The sequence below is a fragment of the Homo sapiens genome, chromosome 1 (assembly GCF_000001405.40).
Source record: "Homo sapiens chromosome 1, GRCh38.p14 Primary Assembly".
Taxonomy (NCBI): Eukaryota; Metazoa; Chordata; class Mammalia; order Primates; family Hominidae; genus Homo; species Homo sapiens.
The window spans coordinates 176,537,579-176,562,432 of NC_000001.11; the positions used below are offsets into that span (position 1 = coordinate 176,537,579).

Here is a 24,854-nt window from a genome sequence, read left to right on the forward strand (position 1 = left end):
TTGCACCTTGTCCATGCACCAAGTCCTCTGTTCTAAAACTTATTTTCCTTCTTTGTTGAGCAGTTAAGGAGCCAAGTCTTTTGACTTTTGGCTGAAAAGAGAAAGTAAACAAGATGTCCGTTTCAAGGCAGTAGGTATGGAGTGTGTGTGTGTGTGTGTGTGTGTGTGTGTGTGTGTATGTACGTGTGTGTGTTAACGCTGTGACCTCTGGGACCCTGGCCCTGATACTCAGACCCATAATGTCATCTTGATCTTTCTGCCTTTTACCCTCTTGGCTACTTGGACTTCTGTTGCTTCTTTCATCTCCACCCACCCCTGCATAATTTAATCTCATGTTTCATGGATTCCTTCTTCTACTGGAGTTATGTGTCCTGAATCCAACCATTCAGCCAGACCTACTATATTTCTCTCTCTTTCTCTCTCTCCCTCTCTCTCTCCTTTGAGACCCTGAAAAGCTTTAAGGAAGACTCTCGCCTCAACTCTGCTTATTCACCTTCTCAATATAGTAATCCAGAGTGTTACAAACCTTGTTTTGACCTCATGATTTCTCACCTTCTCTTCCTACCATTTCATTCCGTTCATACACACTCTCAAGTGTCAGGATTACCTCTTCCAAATCTCCCCTTTCTCCTTTCCCATTCACTTCCCCAACAGTTGGGATGGACCCCAGGACCATCACTCTTCACATGTCTTGAGCATGTGTTAGGTGTCAGGAGTGAACCAAGCACTTCACATTTATTTTATTTAATCTTCACAACCACCAGTGTGGTCAGTGCTGTACTTTCTCCATGTATAGAAGTGGAAATGAAGATGTGGGGAGGTGAAGGCATTCATCCAAGGTCACATTGAGAGTAGATGACAATGCCAGGCTCTAGAACCACATCAGAATCATGCCAAGGTCTGTGCCTTGATCCACTCTTCCAATTCAGATTTCTTCCTGAAGTCAAACCAAGTTAGATTTTCCGCTGAACAAGGTCTCATGATTGCTTTTAGAGAGGAGGGGGAGAAATGGAACGTATAACCTTTCTCCGTTTCTTTTTTGTTTCTCTCAGTTTTCTTCAGTCTCTTTCTTCATTCCTTTCCCCATCTCCACCCATGGTGGCCCAAGTTTCCTCAGCAGAATTCACACTCAGGCAATCTCCTTTAAAAGTTTCTTTGCCTCATCACTAGACAATATCCCACAAATTCAAGCCACCTATAAACCCTACTGCCAGCTCTTCATTCATGGGTCTTTAAAAGGCAGACTCATAAAAGAAGCCAGCTGAGATCCTGGTTCTGACAGTCTTATAGCCTGTTTTTGCTTGGCCTCACAGATTTAAAAAGTTTTGGTTAAAATTATGGCTGTTGACATAACCTTTAAGGATTATCCCTCAGATTCATGATGAGGCTTCAGTCATCTCTGAGCCCTTTTCCTTTCACCCACATGCTAATTCCATGGCTGGTTCTAAGGCTCACATACTGATGAGTGAAACGGAGATTCAAGTTTAATAGGTGCTAAGTAAAGTCTTTTATTTCCCTTCTGGATAATCCCCTCACCAAACCCTTTCATCCAGTTCAAATGCCCGGGTGCTGGTGCAGTTAGGCAGACGAGAATCATTCTGACAGCAGAGCTTAAATGACTCAGGAGTCGCTCCAATTTCCTCATCTGGCTGCCAGGATTTGTATGGAACGTAGGGTATGAGCTGGGGCTGAATAAATTGTATGGGGTCCAGCCAGAGAGGCGGTTGCCAGGGGCAGGTTGAAGGCACATGAAGTGAAGCACAGGCTCATGTCATGGTGGCCTGATCCAGCAGGAGCCACAGATGCCACCCTCAGCAGAGGAAATCCCTTACACATGGCCTCTATTCCTGTTTAGTTCTACAAACATTTACTGTGGCTCCTATTTTGTTGTCCCGGCTCTGTTCTAGGCCCTAGGGACATACAGCTAAATAAGGGAAGGTCTACCCCATTAAGTGGCTCACAGTCTGGGGTGGAGGGAAGACCTCTAGAAAGAGAAAGGAATGTTCAAGGTGCTGGTTATGACTCCAGCTGAGTGTCATGTGATTTTTTTTTTCCTAACAAGCTATAGTATGCTTTGGGCATATGAGTAGGAGATTTGTGCACTAGGAAGTGGGTGCTGCTACCCCAATAAAACACTCTTCCTCCTGGGCCAGCAAAGATCCCTTTGGACACCTGATCTTCTGCCCTTTTCCCACGGGGAATCCACTTTGGTCCTGTTCCATTCTCAGGAGAACTCATGCTGGATGGAAAGTCACAGAACATTTTGCTGTGGCCATGCATTGCTTTCAGGTCTAGCCTTGGCTGAGCCTGATGCTGAAAGGAGAAGTGAGGATCAGTTAGCCATTTGCTATTCAAATAGTATTTGTTTTCATTGTCTCTTGGAAAGCTGTGGGTACTGTTCCAACCTTTGTATCCCCTTTCTGATCTTAGTCTGCTGGGAAGGACTCCACCTTCTTTATTAGCAAGAAGAAGAAAGGGAGGGACCATTTGCTTCTCTCTAGGAATTTCTTTTCCTCAATGGTCAAAATTTCTCATGGTTTCATACTTGTTTTTTCAGATCTCTGGGAATACACAAATAATAAGACACAAGTACCATCCTCAATTGCTGTGCAGGGTCATTGGGTAGAAAGACGTAACTGTAGGTAAACTGCAAGACATTGCAATAAATGGTATTTTGGAGGCTTGAATAAAGAGCTACTGGGGCTACCTACATAAGCTGTTCCCTTTCTAGAAATGCCCTTCACTTGAAAACTCCTTGTCTTTGTTTAAGACCCTGCTCAAAAATCACTCTGTCTTTGAAATGCCCTTGATTACTGCGTGAAGAGTTGATTGCTTTATTCTTAGTGCCTAGCAGTGCTTCATTTGAAATTCTGAGATAGCACTGATAGCAATGTCTTACAATTTATACACTCTGTGTCTTTCTCCCTAATGTATCTGTGAGGCAATCCAGAGCGGTGCTAGTATGTCATTACTGGTGTAGCCCCAGAATCTACAGTGGTGGCTGGTATCTAGAAGGGCTCAACTTATGCTTCCTGGAAGATTAGGTAAAGCCACAATGACTTAACTTTCTTTTCACTCAAGATCTAGTTCAAAGGGCAAGATGAGGCCAAAATGTTGAGTTGAGATGTCTCAGTACCATACACTAAACTCTGAGTCATGTGACCAGATAACCTAACCTTCTCAATTCAGCCAAGTAAAGTGAGAGCTCCAACACCCCCCAGCAGAGTGCATGTGTAGCATTTTATGGAAATCATCTCCCACCAGAGACAACTAGAGCCTCCCCACCATGGCTTCTGAGTTCTTACTGGCTTACCTCAAGAAGTTCTCAAATCCTATGTTGATCCTGGCCTCTGTAACCAACATTTTTCAGTGATAATTTGAGGCACATTATGTGGCATTTGGGGCTAAGAACCAGAGTCAATGATTGGAGTTTCAAGATCTATAATCTTGGACACTGTTCTCTACTTATTTTTTCAGTAATGGGAGCTCAATGGAACTGAGTAAATGGCTGCTTGAGCAAGGATAAGCTTCCTGGATGATATTTAGAAAAGTGATCACTTGATAGAATGTGCTCTATACATCTGTGTATATATAGGGGACACACAGTTCTAACCACTATTGAGGAGCATGTGCTTCAGCTTTATCTCCACAAACCATACAGAGATGCAGTTAGAGGCTTCCACATGATTTCTCCACTTGTGGATCTTGACAGTGCATTAACAGCGAATACATTTGTCATCAGGATTCAGCCAGAATACCAGAATAATCTGCACAGTATTTTGGCCTTAGTTTAGATGTGTGGTTCTCAATGGGGGAAGTACTGTCCCATAGGGACATTTTGGAAAGTAGTAAGGGTAGTTTTGATGTCACAATCATTGGAAATTACCACTGGCATCCTTGCTAAGATCAAAATAATTGGAAATCACCCCTAGCATCCTTGGGCAGGCACCAGGGATCATAGATATTCCTCTAGTGCATAGATAGTGCCACTGAATAAATTTTCCTGCATCCTGCTTGACTCTTGAATGCCATGCCAAACATCCACGTAGATGAAAAATGCATTTATAATGATCCACATCGAGAAGCTCATTCCATTTTTGATATAAACACTTTAACGAGAAGTATTTTTTGTACTCTTTAAATATACATTCCCAAGAAGGCAGCTACCATGTTATTGAAGGAAGCTTGCCTTTTGATTTGTTCACTAATTTCACCAAGAGTTGTTCTCCATTTTGGGAAGTCACACCATTGATGCAATGCTGCCCACAGTATCTGAGTCACTCAGACCACACACCAGAATCAGCCTCGTTTGGAGCTGTTGTAGTCATGCTGACTCTACAAATACATAGTGATACACTTTGTTAGCACTTAATTCAAAATGTCAACATAAAGAAAAATACCTATCACGTTTGTTGAATAGTTTCTTATTTTCCTGAAGTCTGAACATGTTCACAGGAAGTAGGTTCAAGCATTTGATTACTTTGTCTTTTAATCTAGTTGTGTCAGAAGTATTTACACATGAACATTTTTATTATTTCATTGTAAATTATTTCCTCTTATAGATAGAGCATTCACTTTTTTTGAATTTATATAAGGTAGGTCATACTATGTTTGGATTTTCAAAACCAAATATTTGCCATAAAAATGGGATTTCTGAGACTGACAAGATTGAGTGACAGTTTTAGACAAACATAGGAGCAACTGGGACATAGGAAAGGATTAATTATTTGAGTATGGTGAGAAATGATATCAAAATGGACCCTTGGGAGTGACAGAAAGTTTAAAATAAAAAAAAAATGTAGGATTGAAGATTTGAAGCAGCTGACTTCTTTAGTAATGCTAATGTTTATCAAATGCTTCCTCTGTGCTGGATCCATTGCTGAGAAATGTTCTTTGTTACAGGCTGTCAGACAGCCTGTGCTGTCTGATGCCACACAGGCAATAGGGGCAGAGCCCAGACTAGAACAATGTTTGCCAGTCTACCAAGCCTGCCCCCTCAACGATACCCCATTGGCCAGTTTAGTCTGTGGAAGACAAGCTTGAACTTCCCCCTGGCCCCTACTGGACAGGATCTCTGTTGAATGGGTAGGAGGACATCTGACAAGCTTACGGGCTCAGACTGCCTTGGTTTGATTTCCTGCTCCTGCTATGGCTGAGATCTGTGGAAAGGTTGGGCTGGAATGGGATTTAGGAAGGGTAAAATGTCCTGTTCAGTAGGTCTGCTCCTTTTCCTAAAGACATCTAGGGGCATATCTGTTTTGAAATGATATTTACACATGAACCACGTTTCATCAGTAAAACAAATTGTTTAATAACAGACCAGCAACAGGAACTCCTTTCCAATATATTTAAAATCTTGTAGGCTCTACAAAAGTTCTCCAGTATGAGTTCTTTTAATTCCTTCAAAAAGACAGTTTTAACTTTGCATTGCCACAACTTCCTGGACTGTGGCTCCTTTCCTTGCAGTTTCAAAGTGTGGGAGGAATTCCACAACCACCTACAACATCTCTGTTACTCTATTTCAGATAGAGTGAAAATGAATTCTAAACATCAGTGTTGGCTTCTTCACGTTCCCCGTCGTCTTGGGGGTGGCACTATACAGAAGTGCAGTTATGATGAAGAGGCAGCTAGGCTTTGGGGAGTCCATGTGTGGCCACCTATTCTTCCATATGTGTGTCAATGGAAAGTGCTGCTGTCCTGTCCATGCTGTCCCCAGCCCTGGAACCAGCCCACTCTCACCTCCATTGCTTTGTACACAAGCACTAGACTCTGTTTAAGGAAATCCTTCCAGAGCCCCCACCTGGAGTTTACCCTCAATCCCCTTGTTCTCCTTTCTCTGCCTTCTCAATATTGAGCCCCACATTCCAGCTTCATCTCTGCACCTGGCCTCTTCTGTTTGGTCACTTTCTGGAGCCTCAGACTCCCCTTCTAACTTTGTGGTTGATGTCTTCCTGTGGAGGTTTAGCTCAGCTTCTTATTCAATTTTGACTTCTTTGAGGAACTACCCCAAGACTTTCAGAACCTCACTGACTAGGTCAGAACACCCCCACCTTCCTCTCCTTCATCTCCAATGCCACACCTGGGGATGGTGGAAGGACTGAGAGTGTTCTTGTGGCACAAATTGTCTGTCAGGGATTCTATGCCTCTCCCATGGTGTAGAGTTGTAAGGACGCTGTTGCCAGCAAGGGGTTGTATTTTCAGCCCATTAGGTTTGAGGTGAAGACAGTAACTATTTCTTTCCAATGACGTGTGATCTGTGTCACTTCCAAGATGGAGTGGTTAAGAAGTGGGCCATCTCTCTTTCCCTACTTACTAGCTGAAGGCAGTGGACTTCAAGGCTGTAAGGGAGGGTGGAAGCCAGATGGCAGGGGTCTGAGTCACTGAATCACCACTCATCAGCAGCAACTCTTGTACTGGGTCTCAGTGAGCAAGAAATAGACTCTATCATTTAAGTTTCTTAGGTTTGGGATTTAGTGTTAGATCAGAGGGCATTTCCCTAGTGTGTCCCCAGTTTCCTCACCTCTAGATGCTGGACTTTCATGGGGATATCCAGAGCCTAGGGAAGACCTCAATCTTGATGTCAGGCTTGTAGAAACACTGTGTAACTGAGACCTGCTGATTTACCTCACTCCGGTTGTTTGCAGTCTGTAATAGTCTTGGACAAGTGTCTTAAGTAGTTCAAGTGTCAACGCTTGCATACATAAAAATGACAATATTAATAATATCTGGCTCTGATGACAGGATGCATGGCTAGTGCTTAGTACAGAAATGTAGGAGTTGTTCCATAAATGCCAGTTGTTATATTAACACTTGATTTGGAAACACTGATGGCCTATCTTAGAGTCAGCTCTGATCTAGAATTCCAGGTGTTAGCTCAGGTTCTAAATGCTGAGTGGTACTCTGTGTCATTCCTCAAATACTTTCGAGTAGGAAATCCCGACTGTTTTTCTTTATATTCATATGCAATACCTCTGGCCACCAATTGAGTGGCGTTTTCTTTCACACCAAGCAATTCTTCAATTCTCTGTGGATGACAACTGGATGTCCTACAATTCAATTCAATTCCCGCACTATCTACCTGGGCTTAGTGCAGATCCCACAAGTTAAGGGCTCAGTCCCACAAGATTGCTCTCCCCCAACTTTCAGACACCAATTGCAAATGAGAGGTTACCCACAACTTCTCTTCAACCTGGCTACAAATCTGAGGTTCCCATAAACCTCCCTCTTTAGGTTCAATCATTTGCTTAGAAAAGATCACATAATTCAGGAAAGCAGATTATTACTAGATTCCTGGCTTACTGAAAAAGTATACAACTCAGAAACAACCAGATGAAAGAAATGCATATGGCAAGGTATGGGGAAGGGGCACGGAGCTCCCATGTCCTCTCCAGCCAGCCAACTGCCCAGTATCTCCATGTGTTCAACAGCCTGAAAGCTAATTGAACCTCTTCCTTTTGGGTTTTTATCTAGCCGTGATTGATTAAATCATTAGCCGTTGGTGATTAAACTTAATCTCCATCCCTTCTCCCCTCCTTGGAAGTCAAAGAGGTGAGGCTGAAAATTCCAGCCCTCTAACCATATGGCTGGTTTCCCTTATAATCAGTCCCCAGTCTTAGGGCTTTCCAAAAGTCACCTCCTTAACATAAGCTCAGGTGTGATTGAAGGAGCTTGCTACGAATAACAAAAAATGCTCCTTTCACCTTTGTCTCCCCTATCACTTAGGAAATCTTGAGGGTTTTAGGAGCTGTGTGCCAGTACCTGGGACAAAGACCAAATATAGTCGCCTTCTCTCTGTATAACTGTGTTCCTCATCCATGGATTCAACCAACCTCAGAAAAAATAAATAAATAAATAAATAAATAAATAAATAAATAAATAAATAATACACCTGAACTGAAACTGTGCATGATTTTTTTCTTGCCATTATACCATAATCAATATAGTATAACAACTACTTAACAGAGAACCTACATTGATTTAGGTATTGTAAGTAATCTGGAGATGATTTAAAGCATCTGGGAGGATGTGTGTAGGTTATATGCCAATACTACATCATTTTATATAAGGGACTTGAGCATCCTCAAATTTTGGTGTCCTCAGTGGGTTCCTGGAACCCATTCCTTATGGAAACTGAGGGATGACCATGCATACTTCTTATTATAAACCACAATGTCATAGCCTTCTTTTAGCTAGGATGAAAAGGTGGGCAGTGAACTAGAGTTTCTCTTACTCTTTTTCAGTCATAATTATTTTCTTCCTGCTTGCCTTCTGGTGTCAAATTATTGAGTCTCAGTTGGTGCTCAGCCCAATGCCCAGTTCTTAATGCACACATGGGTCTCCCTCATGGAAATGTAATTTCTTTGGATTCTTTTGAGGCACACTTACCAAACTGAGGAAGGTGGCAGTGTGCAAGAGGAAGGCAGAAACAGAGCATTAATATGGCATTTGTTCCTGGAATATCAATTTAACTCAAGGTTAATTAATGTCAAAATAAGTATGGACAGGTTGTACTGTAGAGTAACATGCACACTTTATTTATTTGTTTACTTTAAATGATAAAACATGAGATTTGCTCTCCTTTGTCTAGGGCTGCTTCCTGGACAGCTGGAGAAACACTGCTCTAAAACCTGTAATGCCCCTTGCTGAAGCAGAGTGATTTTTGCTACCCATTTTGATGCCATAATTTAGATATCCATCTCACCTCACTGCACTCTCTTTACCTGGGACATTTTGGTGGTGTTACTTTATTTTCTCTTCTCCTCTGGAGTGGATAGTTGAGTAATTGAAAACAATTTGGGTGGGGAATATGATAGGGCAATCAGTCCTGGATAAGAGAGTAGTTCTAGAATATTTGAGAAAAAATGCTCACATTTTTCTATTAGTCAAAAAAAATAGTCAAAAACTTTACCCAACTCCTAATGAATATTAACAATAGGAATAGTCAATATAATCAGTCTGATAAGGAATAAAATAAAATTGCACATTTATATGTGAATTTACACATGAAACATTTGTCCTGGGAAAATTGGACTCAGTAGCAATAATTATTGCAAAAGAGAATGCACGACAGTTGAAGCTGTAATTGATGTCTCATGTGAACAAAAGCTAAGAATTGGTTTGGATGAAAATTGATTTTAGTGAAATAAACATACAAATAGAAAATAATGAAAATACTTAACCACATCGATAGGAATTGATCAAAGAAGTAACATGACTTAATAAATTTCCCTCTTGAAATATAATTACTTTTGGAAAAATGCTGATTTTGTGATTGCTTTTTATTGCTAAATCAATAAATTTCAAATTTTAGTATTTATTTTTGTAATGTGAGGTAAAATTGTTTCCAAGGACCAAAAATGGTGTCATTGAAATGATTTAATGGGTCAAAATGATGAGATCAAAATGAATCAAAACAGTGGGCCAAAGTATTCTGAACCTTTGGCTTGCATGTGGAAGTTTTCTGGTAAAAGTTAATTAATAACCACAATCCTCATGCGTGTCTCTATGCCACCCACTATACAATGAAGTTGCCATGTAATATTTCATGAATCCTTTGGATAATCTGTGTGATAGATGTTAGCACCTCTCTTTTGCAGATATAGAAACTTTATGTCAGCCTGTTCATATAGCTCATCTGAAAAGACTCAGCTTTTCATGGGTCTGTCTCCTAAGCCTTCAATACATTTTACCCCACTGCCACCCACCTACCAACCATTCTGAGATAGATTGAAACCCTAGGGCATCATTTCATTCATTGCCTCAATTCAGTTAAGTAAGTTGTGGTTAATTACACTACTGTTCCCAATAATTTGCTCCTATCCCTGTAGGAAGATTATATAATCATGTCTATTGCTATGTGACTTTTTGTAGACTATCCTTGTGTGAGGAGTTTCCTGCCCTGCCTCAATGACATCTGCCTTGGTTGTCATGACTTACTTTGGCCAATAGAAAACAGGTAGCAATGACCTGTGCCAAACCCATGCAAAAACTTTAAGAGCAACTGCATGGTTTGTCATTGCTCATTTTCCCTCTACACAGGGTCTCTCAACCTCACTATTAACATTTTGGACCAGATAATTATTTGTTGCTGGTGGAGATGGGGTCTGTCTTACGCATTGGAAGATGTTAAGCAGCATCCCTAGCCTGTACCCACTAGATGACAGCAGTATCCATCTCTCAGTTGTGACTACCAAAAATGCCTGGAGACATTGATAAAATATCCCCTGGGAGGTGATATCATTTCTGGTTAAGAACCACTACTCTACCACAACAATGGTATGTCCCATAGAAGCTATTCCTTTATCCTCCATTCCAGGATTTTTTAAAAAATGTGGGGTGCCGACCCACAGCTACATGTAACATGTACGAAAAATCAACCTTTTCTCTTGTCTTTGTGATTCTGGGGTTGGTTGTTAGCACAACATAACCTAGTGAAAGCTGACTAATACAGACATGTGGAGGAAAGTGCAGGATACATTAGAGATGGTCATATCTTATTAATTTTTTAATTAGATGAAAATGAAATATTTTAATAGATAATTGTTAAGACTATCAGCTCATAGCTGTTATTAGTATAAAAAGTCAGTATCAGTTAAATAGAAAACATAACATGTATTTATCTTGTATGATTCCTCCTAAATGGAGTTAATGAGTTGGGGAAATGACTGGTTTTCCATTTATATTTGGTTGGCTATTTGTCTCTTAGATTTTAATGGGGGCATGTTGGATCTGGGGGAGCAAGGGTAGTGGGAACAAGAGCTCTTGGGGAATCTCTGGAAGATACTCTAGCAGTGGCGGAAGTGGGACTTTCCCTAACTGCTACTGTTGGCTGGGCTACATTTCTTGGAGACATTGGACCCTCACTCAATAGAGACTTTAGGAAAAGTCCCAAGAAAGATCTTTCCATTACTCCAGAGGAATCACTGAGTCGTACTTACCAGGAAAAGTCTGGTTTTGTCATGCTGGGAGTCAAATCATGGCGTGTATTTACACCCTTCATGAAAAGGCAGTGCAGTATGGTGACCATGAGTGAGAGCTCTGGAAACGCGCAGTTCTTTTCCAGGCGAATGAACTTAGTCGCTTGACTCTGTGCTTTGGTGTTTCCATCTAAAAATGGGGATCATAGAGGAGCTATATCACAGGTTTATTGTTGAATTAAATGAGATAATAGATTTACATTGATGCTACACTGGGCATGTGGTATGCGCTCAATAAATGCTAGCTACTACTGTTACTAGTTGTAAATGGGGATGAAAATGGGCTACATTTCTTGGAGGCATTGGGCCCTCACTCAAGACATGAAAAGTCTGGTTTTTTCATGCTGGGAGTCAAATCATTTGAAAATGGGGATGATAGAGGCACCCACCTCACAGGACTGTTGTGAGGATTGAATCAATTAGTATATATGAAGTGGCCAGAACAGTGTGTAAGTAAAAATTTTTATTATTGCTAATACTACTACCATCTCAGGGAAATCACCACATTTTAAAATTCTAATGCAATACCAAATTTAAAAAGCTGCTCTCATGTAAGTGTTTTCATACTAATGCCATGTGTTCTATATTTGAGTTGCAAAATATGTGATAATGCTACAGATGCATAGGACATCTTTTTCCATATAATAGCAAAGCTCTAAAACTCTTCACACAGTACCCCTGTTTCTGCATATCAGTGTTTTTAATAAAGTCACATTCGAATATATGGCTTTCTTTCAGGACCAAAATAAATGTCATAGGTGCCCACTGCTAATGTAAACTTGAGTCTCTGGTATATTTATAGGAAATGAGCACTGGCTGTCTTTTATAAATGAGAAGATAGAATCTTAGAAAAGTGTTGGGCTGAAAAATAAGAGAATCTCAAGTGTGACCTGGAAGGGAACTTAGAGGTCTTCTATTCCAATCTTCTCATTTTACAGATAGCTCAGAGAAGTTCATTAACTTGCCCAACGTCAGGCAGCTGTTGAATGGCAGAACAGGGGCATAATTGTTTATTTGGTAATAGAGTATTTGATTTATTGAGGCCATCTGGGTTGATGGAGCTGGAACTTTAAGCCAGCTTAGTGCTCCATCCAGCCCGGCTCTAAGGGGTCCCCTCAGAGTCTAGGCGAGATGGCCAGTGGAGAGTTCAGGCACAGAGCAGCACCTAACCACCACCAAGCAATGTCACACAATCTTTTGGTCTTTGGGCACCTGAAGGATGTAGATAGAAGAATACTGTATGCAAAATTAAAAGACCCTAGACTTACCCCTGGCTCTATCTGCCCACCCCCACAACATTTACTGAGGCATAATCTACATATAGCAACCTTTTTTAGTACACAGTTCTTTGAGTTTTGACAAATGCATACAGTCATGCATCATCACCACAACCAAGATAGAGAATAGCTGTGTAAGCCCCAAATCTCTTTGTGCTTTTTCTATTCAACTATTTCCCCAACCTTCAGCCCTTAGTAACCACTGATCCATTCTCTGTTCTCAAGGCTTTGCCTTTTTCAGAATGTCATAGAAATGGAATCGCACAGTTTGCAGCCCTTTAAGTCTGGCTTCTTTCACTTAGCATAATGCATTTGAAATTGTTTCTGGCTGTGTTCTTACTGTCTGCAGGTCTGTGGGTAAGTAGTTTAACCTGTTTCAGCCTCAGTGTCCTCATCTGTAAGATGGGCATTAACACTTGCTTTGCATTCACGTTGTTGTGGTTAGAAAGAAAGAATGCATACAAATGTGGATTAAGTAAGAGGAAATGCAAGTGTACAAATGTACTCATTATTTTTGTTATGAAGTTGCCTTTTGAAGAGATTCCAGGTACAAAGGCAATCCTAATTGAAGTATAAACCCTGCAGAGCCTTTGTTTGTCGGATGAGCGGGGAAGAACCCAGCATCACTGTTAAGCTCTCCCCCAGCCAAAGGGCTCCACGAGCTAGTTCCAAGCCTCAAAATCTTACAGAAAACACTTACCCAATAGGGACTGTCACCAGGGAATGTAGATCTCTGGCATATTGCTTTCACCATACTGCTCCCCCGAGGTGTTGGGAAACTTAACCTGTCCATGACATACTTTGATCTATTTGGATGGAATGTAGCTTTTAAAACATGACCATTAACACTGCTAATAATTTATAATGGTAATTGTATTCTGGAAAAAAAATGAATATCTGACATACGGAGCACCAAACAGTTCCACAAGAAGATAGGGCTTGTCTTGGCTCAAAACGCACAGGGAAGAGGGTGAAATCCAGATTTGCATTTCCTTCTGAGTGTTATGTGATTCTGAGTTATAGAACACATATGACCAACATATATGCCCTGGGCATTTTTGCCGGGATGTGGAACCTGGGAGGCCAGTGTTCGATACTGCCTTCCCATCCAATTGACAAATGGCTGGCAAACCAGCCAGACAGGTGAAGACAGTGCGTAGCCAGAGAAGGCAAAAAAGCTGGGCAGAGATTTAGGAGACCTGATGCTATGTCTGGCCCTGCGATTAATTGTGTGACTTAGTGCTTGTTCCCTTACCTGCGAAAAAAGGGGGCCGTAGTAGATTACCCTGAAGGAATCACAAGTTACCCCCGAAAGATAGAGCCCGACTCCCATCTCTGAGCACCAGAGCCAGGGGAGCAGAAAGCAGCAACCCTGAGCCTTGGAGTGAAATCTTTCAGAGAAGCTCCCTGTTTCCAGCACTAGCTGAATAAGATTCCAATAAACATATTGCTGAAATGTTTGTTTCCGGGTGTCATTTTAGACTGCAAGTAGCTAAAACAGATCTGGCTTCTATATATAGATTCCGCATTTGGTTGTGTTCTAGGAGGCTTTTATTACTACGCTCCCTGGCTGGCTCCCAGCTGAGCTTTTCCTTCAAGGGATCAGATTTTGGAACCAGAAAGTCAAAGAGGATCAGTGACCACATTAAGGGGCATCTCTCTTTCTCTCTGTCTTGCTCTCGCTCTCTCTCTCGTTCTCTCTCTGCTAATGCTGTATACTGCAGGTGGATGCCAGCGTGGACTGGCTCCTCTCTTTGTGCAAAGACTCTTAATAATAATGATGACAAAGCTAATGAAAACTGACCAGCCCCACTATGGGAGTAAATATAAGCAAAACACTCCTGACGTCCTGGGCTTAAAGGAAACATCATATAATTTGGGTTGAAATGAAGTGCAGATGATCACAAACAGCCCAATCTTTAGATAAGAGGACCCAGGAACCTCTGTGGATAGAAATAAAGGAAGGGGCTGTGAAGAATGGGTTTCTTTAGGGGGGTGGGTGTCTGAATTTTACTCATGAATTCTCCAGGGGAAGATATGCTGGAAATGAAAGGTGAAAGAAAGAAGGTGGAGGTGGAAGTTGGAGGCAGAGATGCAGGGAGGGAAAGCGGAGGGAAGAGGAGTTCCCTTAAAGAGACAATGTTGAAGCCTTGCAATCGGATTTTGTAAAACGTGTCCAGTCACTAAGAGACAGTCCCCCTACTGTGTGTCCTTTGTTTTCTGTACGTAAAACCTAACCTCGACCCCATGTTATAGTGTCTCCTCCCTTCACCTGCCTCTGAGATTTCTTTATGTTTAATCATCATGGATCTAACTGCCTTCCTGGTCTCCATATTTTTGTGCCTCACCATCTCTTTCTAGTTTTTCTTCCTGTTTCATTCTTCCCTCTTCTCTTCTCTACTTCTCTTTTCCAGTTCTTTCTCCTCCCAGAATCTTCTCTTTTTCCTAGTCCTCCTACCCTCCCCCTTCCATTTTACCCTCTCCTCCTCCATCTCTCCCCTCCCCCTCGCCTTGCTCCCTTCCCCTTTCCCTCTTTCCCCACGCCTCCTTCTTTCTTCTCTTTTCTTCCCCCCTTACCCCTGCCTGTCCTTCTCCCCTTCTTTTCTCTCTCCCCTTTCCCATCTCCTCATCCCCTCTCCTCTCTCTCCTCGCTTTCCTCTTTTCCCTTTCCCTCCCTTTCCCTCTCCGTCCTGGTCCTTGTTTATCTGTAAGCTCCAATTTCTTGCCTTATAGATTTACCTGCAGAACAAGACACCGCTCCTCTTGCAAAAAACTGTTTAAGAAATCCATATCCTCTCCCTTCATTCCTTGGGCATTTCAGAAATGATATTCCTCCCCCAACTACCCCCGTCAAAATAAAATGAATCCAGCCAGCTCCTGCTGTGTGTCCTTAAATCCATTCCCTCTAGCTTCGCTGGTTTGAAAGCCTGTACCCTAGAAGGGGCCTCCTGCATTTGCTGGCAACCCTGCTCAGTCTGATCGCCACAGATAGTGCTTTGGAGTGAAAAAAAGGGGGAAAAACCCTCTCCTTGGAGATTTCAAAACAGATTCGACCAGCTTTCAAGTCTGTGCACTTGCGGAGTGGCAGAGTTTGGGGAAGAGGGGTAGGGGACTTGGGGTGTGGGTGTTTGTCATAAACAAATAGCAACAGAATTTATGTCTATATAAATTTGGGTTTCCCTTGGCATGTCTAGTGTCTTTCTCCCTGGCATCGAGGGTGGGTGCTGTGCAAGCCTGACTTCCCTCACACTTTTGCTCGGGGGTGTGTATGTGTGATGGAATTGAGGAGGGGGTTGCTGTGTTTTTGATCTGATTCACTTGACAGATTATTTGAATCCAGCCCACCTTTCCGCACATGTCAAACAGATGGGATCATTGTTAAAAGCCTTGAGAGAGCCGAGGCTGAGCGGTGGGTAAGGCAGGGAGGGGGAAGAGAGGAGGGGGGCTGAGGGAGGGAGGGGGCACCTTCTAGTAGCTTTGTGTTTTTCACACATTGGAACTGACAGGAGTCCTTCTTCTCCGTGGGGTGGTGTGTTGCGGGTATGGGGCTGTTGAGGGGTGGGATGGAAAGGAGAGGGAGGTGGGGTGTTGGTGGGCAGGGTTATGATGTCACAGCAAAAGTTACAACAGGAGGAAAACACAGAAATGGTTCAACATTTTTTTTTAACTTGGGACTGCCAAGAGCTGAAGGAGAGTGGTGAGCAAAGGAATGAAGGGAGAGAGAGAGAAACTAAACTGGAAGCTTGAGTTTTGTGTAGCTTCTTGAAACCTTATGAATGGATTACTAGAAGCTGAGAGCCAGGAGAGACCTATAGGGGATGCAAGATCCCTACACATTAAAAGGGGGAGAAAAGCAGGCGGAATTCTTCTTCCTGGCTGTGTTATCCCTCCTTCCTGAAATGAATGGTAGGAAACCTTTTTCTGAGGGTTATGGGGTGGCATGCGGGAGGGGGAAGTTTACTTCTTTTCTTACCTGAGTATCTTCCCTTTACTTGAACTAAACCTCCTCTCTTCCTTCCCTCCTTTCTTTTCTGCTTTCTCTCTCTCTCTTTCTCTCTCTCTCTCCCCTCTGCTTTCCTGGTTTTCTCTATATCCCCCTCCCTAGAGCCCTAATCTTTATTCTTGAGCTGCTTCAGAAAGAGAGGGAGAGAGAGAGAGAAAACTGAGTCAAAAGTAAAGGGAAGGAAAAAGGGCAGTCTAGGATTGAGGGGTATCTGCTTAGTAACATCCATGTGCCTGAGTTGATATCTTCTTGGGGGACTTGCATCGAGGCTCCAGTGGATGCTACATAAGGAAACAGGACATGCTGGGGATGAGGTGTTTAAGATACAGCATTTATAATGCAAACAAGTCAGTTCTTAGCTGGGGTAGAGGAGTTTAGAAGATGATGATGAGACTCAAGGCAGAAGAGGCAGTGCGATCTTACTCCAGAGTATGTGGACTGCATGTTTTAGATGTGGGCAACACAAGCAGTGACTTTAAAAGTGTAAGTGATTTTTCTTATTATGTGAATGAAGGACCCAATGTGTTTCTCTACTGTTTTGTACCACCTGTGGTCAGATATCCTTACTTGTGTTAAGAATTCAGAACCATGCCGTGTGTTTGTCCATGTATACATGTGTGTATTTGTGTACACGCACATGCACTTAGGGTGTGGGGGCCCTTTGAGAAAGCCTTTATCTAGGCATCTAGGCAAACACTGCATAGGTTAAAATTATGACATTTTCTTCCCCATCCTTTCCATCCATTTCAAATCAATTGGAAACATGGTTCCTTGGGTCTAGCTGTTCATTTTTGTAAATTACTTATTTTGAACATCTCATTGTTTATTTGCTCACTCAGCATATGGTGACTTTTAGTAACTTCAGATTGAGAAACTTCTGAGATAAAAAGGAGACCTATGTAGTATGAATTCATGGCATTTCCATTTAGTACTTCTCACAGCAGGATACTTGATTTCTCCTTTCTCCCATGTCCGATTTAAAGTGAATTTAAGATATTGTTCTTTTAAATCCCCAATGATTGAACAAAGTAAGAAAAAATACTTTGTTTTGTTTGTGACAAAACAAAAGAAAAATACAAGGGATCCCTAAAAGGTTAGTGTGGGCTTATTAGGCAGTAGGTAGATCTGTTCACAGTAAGTGTGTGTGTGTGTGTGTGTGTGTGTGTGAGAGAGAGAGAGAGAGAGAGAGGGAGAATACACACAGAGAAGAGTACTCCAAAACACTATTGATTTTTTGCTATTGATTGTGTAGGCTGCGGCTGCTGAAAGAGAAAGCCCGAGATGTTTACTGGGGAAACCAAGAGTAGCGTCTGTCCCCTGTGCCTTGGTGAGGTGGGTAGGTTTTCAGGAGGAAGGAGGGGACAGGGAGGAGTAGGTGGAGTGATGCATTGAACTTACTAGCTTTGACATCATCATTGTCTTTAAATGAAAACAAAAACAAAAACAAAAACAAAAAACAAGAAGATATTTACAGGCAGACAGAAAGGGAGCCAAGGGGAGCAGGAGAGACTGGAGAGAACAGGTCCCCTGAAGTGTATGCTCTTCTTTTTGCTCTTTTCCCGATCTTCCCAGGAACCCACAAGACTCCCAGAAGGTGAAGTTAAGAGCTCCCAGACTCATAAGGTTATTAGAACAGCAAACTGGCACCCCAAAGAACTTTACGGAGACTTGCAACCTATCAACAAGTTGGATGAGGGATTAAAAGCCTTCAACAACCAACAACCCCAAGCATCAAACTGAAGGAAACATTCTAACCTTCACAGACAGACTGGAGGCTGGATGGGGACCTGGCTGAAGACATCTGGAGAATGAAAGTTAAGTACCAGCTTGCATTTTTGTGCCCCTAGATTATTTTTGCATTTTAAAATAAGAAGCATCAAATTGCGTGTCTCTGTGTAAAAGTTCTAGCAATTTGTTTTAAGGTGAACTTATTTTGGCTTAGGGACTACAAAAAGAGAAGGTAATTCCTAGGGAAGGAAGAAGAGAAAGAAATGAAAATTAGAGAATAAGATTATTTTGAATGACTTCAGGTAGCGAGGAGTGTGTGTTTGTGAGTGTGTATTTGAGAGACTTGGCTCATGCCTGTGGGTCTTCTCTTCTAGTATCAGTGAGGGGAGGGATTACTGAAGAAGAAGGGGGGAAAAAAAAAGAAAGAAATCTGAGCTTTCTGGGAGGAAATTCAAAGGAACCAAGAGAAATTAACTTCGTTCTGCAAGGACTAAAGTACAGCAAGAGGAGAGAGGTCAAGCGAGAAGCGTGCGGGAAGCACATGCCCTGGGGAGGCATAGAAGCCACACTGGCAGAGCGGCCAGCACAGGTAGCCAGCAGAGGCATTCTTGGGGCTATTTGAAAAAGTTTGGTCTGTGAACAAAACAGTTTCCCTGGTGACTGCAAATCCATTGCTAGCTGCCTCTTTCTCGTCTGCCCATCACTCTGGTGTGGTACCCAGAAGTTGACTTCTGGTTCTGTAGAAAGAGCTAGGGGAGGTATGATGTGCTTAAAGATCCTAAGAATAAGCCTGGCGATTTTGGCTGGGTGGGCACTCTGTTCTGCCAACTCTGAGCTGGGCTGGACACGCAAGAAATCCTTGGTTGAGAGGGAACACCTGAATCAGGTGCTGTTGGAAGGAGAACGTTGTTGGCTGGGGGCCAAGGTTCGAAGACCCAGAGCTTCTCCACAGCATCACCTCTTTGGAGTCTACCCCAGCAGGGCTGGGAACTACCTAAGGCCCTACCCCGTGGGGGAGCAAGAAATCCATCATACAGGACGCAGCAAACCAGACACTGAAGGAAATGCTGTGAGCCTTGTTCCCCCAGACCTGACTGAAAATCCAGCAGGACTGAGGGGTGCAGTTGAAGAGCCGGCTGCCCCATGGGTAGGGGATAGTCCTATTGGGCAATCTGAGCTGCTGGGAGATGATGACGCTTATCTCGGCAATCAAAGATCCAAGGAGTCTCTAGGTGAGGCCGGGATTCAGAAAGGCTCAGCCATGGCTGCCACTACTACCACCGCCATTTTCACAACCCTGAACGAACCCAAACCAGAGACCCAAAGGAGGGGCTGGGCCAAGTCCAGGCAGCGTCGCCAAGTGTGGAAGAGGCGGGCGGAAGATGGGCAGGGAGACTCCGGTATCTCTTCACATTTCCAACCTTGGCCCAAGCATTCCCTTAAACACAGGGTCAAAAAGAGTCCACCGGAGGAAAGCAACCAAAATGGTGGAGAGGGCTCCTACCGAGAAGCAGAGACCTTTAACTCCCAAGTAGGACTGCCCATCTTATACTTCTCTGGGAGGCGGGAGCGGCTGCTGCTGCGTCCAGAAGTGCTGGCTGAGATTCCCCGGGAGGCGTTCACAGTGGAAGCCTGGGTTAAACCGGAGGGAGGACAGAACAACCCAGCCATCATCGCAGGTAACACCCTTCTCCTGGGCTTTCTGAAATCCTGAGGGTATGGCTGGCTTTATTTCTGACGGGTTAGACATAGGGAGCGAGGATGGGAAGGGGACCCAACAGGAAAGCCAGAAAGGGCTAGCCAGGGAGAGGGGGAAGGGCCTTTATTAATCAGCACGGCAGGATTCCAGACACCATCAAAAAGGAGATAATGACTCTAGCCATATCAGCCTCTGTACCTTGTATTGATCTCATGTCCTTGTATACATTGTGCTTGCACTTAGGAGACTTTAGCTCTCTTACCTGTCTTTAAAGGGATAGAGCTCCTTGGTTCTTTGCCAAAAGAGAAGGGGTGTCACACTCCATTTCCGGTAGACCAATATGAGATACCCAGGCAACCTTGAAGACAGATGAGAATCCAAGGACCTGAGCAATGAGTCATGCCTGGGCTGGTCCAGGTGGTGAGGAAACAAGGCTGCTAGGTACACAGCCGTCAGGTCCTGCCTGGTTTCCTTTTCTCTGAGTGCCCTGGATCTTGGCAGAAAGGTGCCCTTTGGTCCAGGTCCTGGAGGTCCCTCCACTTTGTCACAACAATCATGTGTCCAGCTTAGGAACAGTAGGGTCCACTGGAAAAAGTGAGCACTTACAAGCCAAGATCCTGACTTCTAGGCCTGCTGTTGTTGTAAGAAGGACCTAAAAAATGAAACTTTTTATAACTCCATGATTTTGATCAGGAGCACTGGTCTGGGAACATGACCCACATTTGTTTGCACTACACACAGATCTTGCTTTTCATGGAAAGTCACCCAGAAGGGCAAAGAAAAATGAGGTTAAGAGTAACTGTTCCCTGTTGCCTTACTGGGAAAGTTGGAATGAAGCAAGGGGTCATGGATTAGACATGATATTTCATCATTTAGTACCTTATCCTTTTGAATTCCCCATGACAGAACCTAACACAAAGCAAGGTGCACAGTAGAACCATATAATCTGCTTAATTTGAATTATCCACAGTGCTCTTTCATGTTTTCCAGTCCCATTATATTGATGGGGAAACTGAGGCAATAAAAGGCATGCCAGGCAGGCTGGGAATAGAACTCCAGGACACTTGAATCGCTTGAAGATTTTCCGAATTAAGAAAATATTCTCAGGTTACTGGATGCCTGCAAAGTTTCAGACTAGGGAAAGAAGTCGGCAAGGAGGGAGCCTCTTTCAAGGGGGTGTTGCTGGAACATCCCTTCCGGACACTCTGTCTCCCCCTCTTTGGCTGTGATTTCTCCTTCGGAAGCTGGGATTCCCAGACACTGAGCATTCTCAAGTCTTGTGGTTTTGCTGTATTTTATTTTTGGGTGGGAGAGGGAGTGGGGAAAGGGGAGAAATAAGGGTTGGGCTATAAGTTAGGTGGGGGAAGAGAAAGAGTAGAAGGAAATCCTTATTCTGGGGCCAAATGGAAGAAATAATGAGATGATTATCTGATCAGAGTTGGCAGCTCCACAATTTCTCCCAGATGACATCTTCTTGCTGCTTAATCTTGCTTCCTAGTACCCATCTGCCAGGGAAACTGTGTGCTTGCAGTCTAGACTAAGACCCACGACTCTGCTTACCCCTCCTCTTGCAGTAGCAACATAAAGACCGGGGATCAATTCCCTGGCTGAAAAAAAATGAGAGAAAGATCCAATAGGAGTCTATGTGGGTGGCTCTAAGGGGCTGCTGCTTTGGGTTACTAGAGGCCAAACCTGGGGAAACTTGACCCCTGTCCTGTCCCTCCTGTGTCCTGTCTGATGCTCTGCACAGAGGAAAGCAGTGTCATGATTTGATTCCAGTTACAGCATTTCTTGTGGCACCTCCCCCATCCCCACCCCAGGACGTCTTTCTACCTTGCCCACCTGTCCACCGCCTCCAACCCCTGCCAACACTGCCACAGCACACACTCAGATCCTTCTCTAAAGTGCCCGTCTGAACTCTTTTAACCGTAAGCATGTAAAATTGGGCAGAAAATCTTTTGCAGACTGTCTAGCTTCTGAATTTTCCTTCTCTTCAAATCAAAGTGTCCCTTGTGGTGTACCAGTATTTCCCCTCTTAGGTCTACACCAGAAAGGTTGAGGGCAGGGAATGCCCAGGGCTATCTCATCTCCACTTACCACTCTATATTTTTCTTTAGATTTCTGTACATCAGAAAATATTCAGTAAAGATGTAGGGTAAAGGTCTGGGAAAGATGGAGGTTGGGAACATGGTTTCATTCTTTGGGATTCTAGCAACAGGGCTGCTGAGGGCTTGGGCATCCTTGTGTACTCACTGTGCTTAGCTGCTTACACTTCACCTGTGCTCTCCATGCCTGAGAACCATAATGTTGCCAAAGGCATTTACCCTAATCTACTCATGCCTGTGGACAGACCAGTCCATCTTCCTTCTCTTACCATACAGCACTCGCCCCTGAGCTGGTCATTGTCTATTCCTACGATGGCTGGCCTTCACCTATGCAGAATGACAATAGAATCATGTCCCTGGGAGCCACATACAATTCAGCAATTCTGCTGTTCCACTTGGAATGATCCGAGGTGCTGCAAGACTTGGCCCCTACACTTTTTTCAACAGCTCTCAAAGCGTAGCTTCTACCTACTCAACTTAAACCCAGTTTCCCAATCCTTAATCTACCCAATTTAGGGCATTTTTTATTCAACAGAGACTTCAAGCAATGCAGCCATAGCAATTTACAGAGGAACATTCCCCTCCCCAGCCCCAGATGCGGGGGTCTTAGAGGATACTTTCTACACGGAACACTAGGTGGCAGTGTTGCTTCATTCACAGGAGAGTAGGCAGCCACGTAGTGGGGAATGTCTCTGATTTCTTGGAGGACTGTCCTGCCCTGGCTCTGGGCTGTGTGTATTTAATTGTCCTCTCCCAGAATGTTGTTCGTTGGCATCCCTTGGGGTCAGCTTTATGCAAGTGTTTTTTGCGGGGCTTATGTGAAAGGGCAAAAGTGACATTTTTGGGGTTGTGACTAACTTGCACTTTAGCAACTAGTAAAGAAAAGAAAATCAACTAAAGTTTCCCCTCTCCCTCCCCCACTCCAAACTCCCACATTCTTCCAAAATAGAAAGTTGAATTCCAGAATGAATTGCCAGAATACATTTATTTAGAGTTGAGGACAACACGGAGCTCACAGGCTTTGGGTGCTGAACGTCTCTCTGGCCCTCAGAAGGCGAGACGTGGTACCTGGGTCCCTGCAAGGTAGATCTTCTGAAGTGGCCTATTTCCCATAGCGGAGACAGAACAACCAAGGTGTAGGAGAGGACTGTGTACAACTGCTCCACTGTAGAGTCCTCTGTAAGAGTAGCTAGTCAGGGGCCTGGCAGCTCAGGGCCATGTGGCCACCTAGGAGTAGACTGAGGTCAGGAGCCCATTTGGTTGGGCCATTGGAACTGAGAACTGGACGTAAGCCAAATTCTGTCCCATCCACGTGTGTAACTTTTAAGCTCCAGCACCCAACCTTGAAACCATCCTGTTCCTTTCCCGCCTTCTCAACTTCCTTTCCTCTCTTTTAACCCCAACATACACAAAAGAGAAGATTTTAATAGGTTCCTCCTCACCCATAATTGATTTCAAATGTTCCCTGAAGTTGCCCAGCTGAGTAACCACCTGCAGCTCCAAGTTGCAGGAGACTGAGTCACTAAGTCCATGGCAGAATTGGAGCCTGAGCCCAGGTTTCTTCATCCGACAAATATTTATTGAGTGCCTTCCATGCAAAGCACGGCAAGGCCCTGTGGGGAGCACAAAGATGTCTAAGAAACTGTCCCTGACATGAAGACAAGTTTTCCTCCTCTGAGGATCCGAGCATTAGAGTATATGCTTGTGTAGAACTTGGGAGGCAGGCCAACCTGGCAACAGATTCCATCTCTGACGCTTATCAGGGCTGTGGTCTTCAGCGATCCATTGAGCTTTTCTATGCCTTCATTTCCTCAAATGGAAAAAGGAGAAAAATATATGTATACAAAATATCATTCCATTTAAATAAAAATGAAAAAAGCTCCAAAAAATGAAAAATAAGACAAAGTCTTGCAGAGTCGTTATGATGCTTGAACAAGTCATGTATGTAAAGTGCCCACCATAGGGCTTGGCCACTGTGTTTACTCATGGCCTGGCAGGAGCTAACAGTGGGAGGCAATCATTACTGGGAGCAGCACGTTAACCTGCTTGTCTTTGGTTCTAACCCACTAACCTATCATTTTTCCTTAGGTGGAATATTCACTTTAATTTCTTAGGAATTCAGTTTGCTAGATTGTAAAATGAGAATGATGGTAAACAGACTTTTTTTACAACACAGTCTAATGTGTTGTAAATGCAGTAGAATCAGAGGCCCCAAAGGGCTCATTTATTTTATTTAAAAAAATCCATTCTTTTTAGCCTGAGCAGTACTATTTTGAATAAATTGGACAACAGTGCTAAAGTTTTCTGGAGGCCATAAAACCTTTTGAAAATCTGATGAAAGCTATGTCCACTCCCTAGAAAAATGAACATGTTCACATAGTTCACACAACGTTCAGAGCTGTATTAGTCTGTTCTCAAGCTGCTGATAAAGACATACCTGAGACTGGGTAATTTATAAAGGAAAGAGCTTTAATGGACTCACAGTTCCACATGGCTGGGGAGGCCTCACAACAATGGCTGAAGGTGAATGAGGAGGAAAGTCATGTCTCACATGGTGGCAGGCAAGACAGCGTGCGCAGCGGAACTCCCATTTATAAAACCATGAGATCTCCTGAGACTTATTCACTATCACACGAACAGCACAGAAAAACCCACCCCCATGATTCAATTACCTCCCACCAGGTCCCTCCTGCAACATGTGGGAATTATGGGAGCTACGACTCGAGATGAGATTTGGGTGGGGACAGAGTCAAACCATATCAAGACCCTTCACGATTTCTTGATGGCCAGGGTCTGCTGACATTATGTATAAAACCTATTGTTTAAGGCCTATATTGGTAAGTGTTGTTGTTGTTGTTGTTGTTTTTGACATCTAAGAAATGAGATTTCACAGAATGCTGAAACATCCCCTTCTCCCAATAAGGGAGGTTTGTACTCAAGGTGGAGGGTGTCATCCACATAGAATATGGAGCTTCATAGAAGGCAGATTCACGTAGATGTGAAGAGAATGTAAAAGGCAGGCCACGTGTGGGATCTCTCCCTTTATCCAATAGGACTCAATGACAG

General features: G+C 43.4%; 1 protein-coding gene across 7 annotated transcripts in view, besides 2 other annotated features; it reads left to right on the forward strand.

Annotated features, from left to right (window-relative positions):
• PAPPA2 (pappalysin 2) overlaps positions 1-24,854 on the forward strand; it is a 382,427-nt gene that overhangs the window by 74,404 nt on the left and 283,169 nt on the right. For 6 of the 7 annotated variants that reach the window (XM_047427180.1, XM_017002024.2, XM_017002023.2 and 3 more), the window contains one exon: positions 17,829-19,663. In XM_047427180.1, the coding sequence (XP_047283136.1) occupies positions 18,745-19,663 (919 nt within the window). In that variant the 5' untranslated portion in view covers positions 17,829-18,744. Of the gene's footprint in view, positions 1-15,905; positions 16,160-17,828; positions 19,664-24,854 lie in introns of those variants that run through there. The other variant, XM_005245422.4, reaches the window with a different exon arrangement.
• Positions 19,270-20,469: an enhancer, noted in NCBI's record as "MED14-independent group 3 enhancer chr1:176525984-176527183 (GRCh37/hg19 assembly coordinates)". NCBI's record gives its function as "activates an origin of replication core promoter dependent on BRD2, BRD4, P300/CBP and CDK7 cofactors, and independent of MED14, by STARR-seq in HCT116 cells {active_cell/tissue: HCT116}" and the evidence as "EXISTENCE:reporter gene assay evidence [ECO:0000049][PMID:35650434]".
• Positions 22,472-22,521: a silencer, noted in NCBI's record as "silent region_1572". NCBI's record gives its function as "represses an Ori minimal core promoter by ATAC-STARR-seq in GM12878 lymphoblastoid cells {active_cell/tissue: GM12878}" and the evidence as "EXISTENCE:reporter gene assay evidence [ECO:0000049][PMID:35858748]".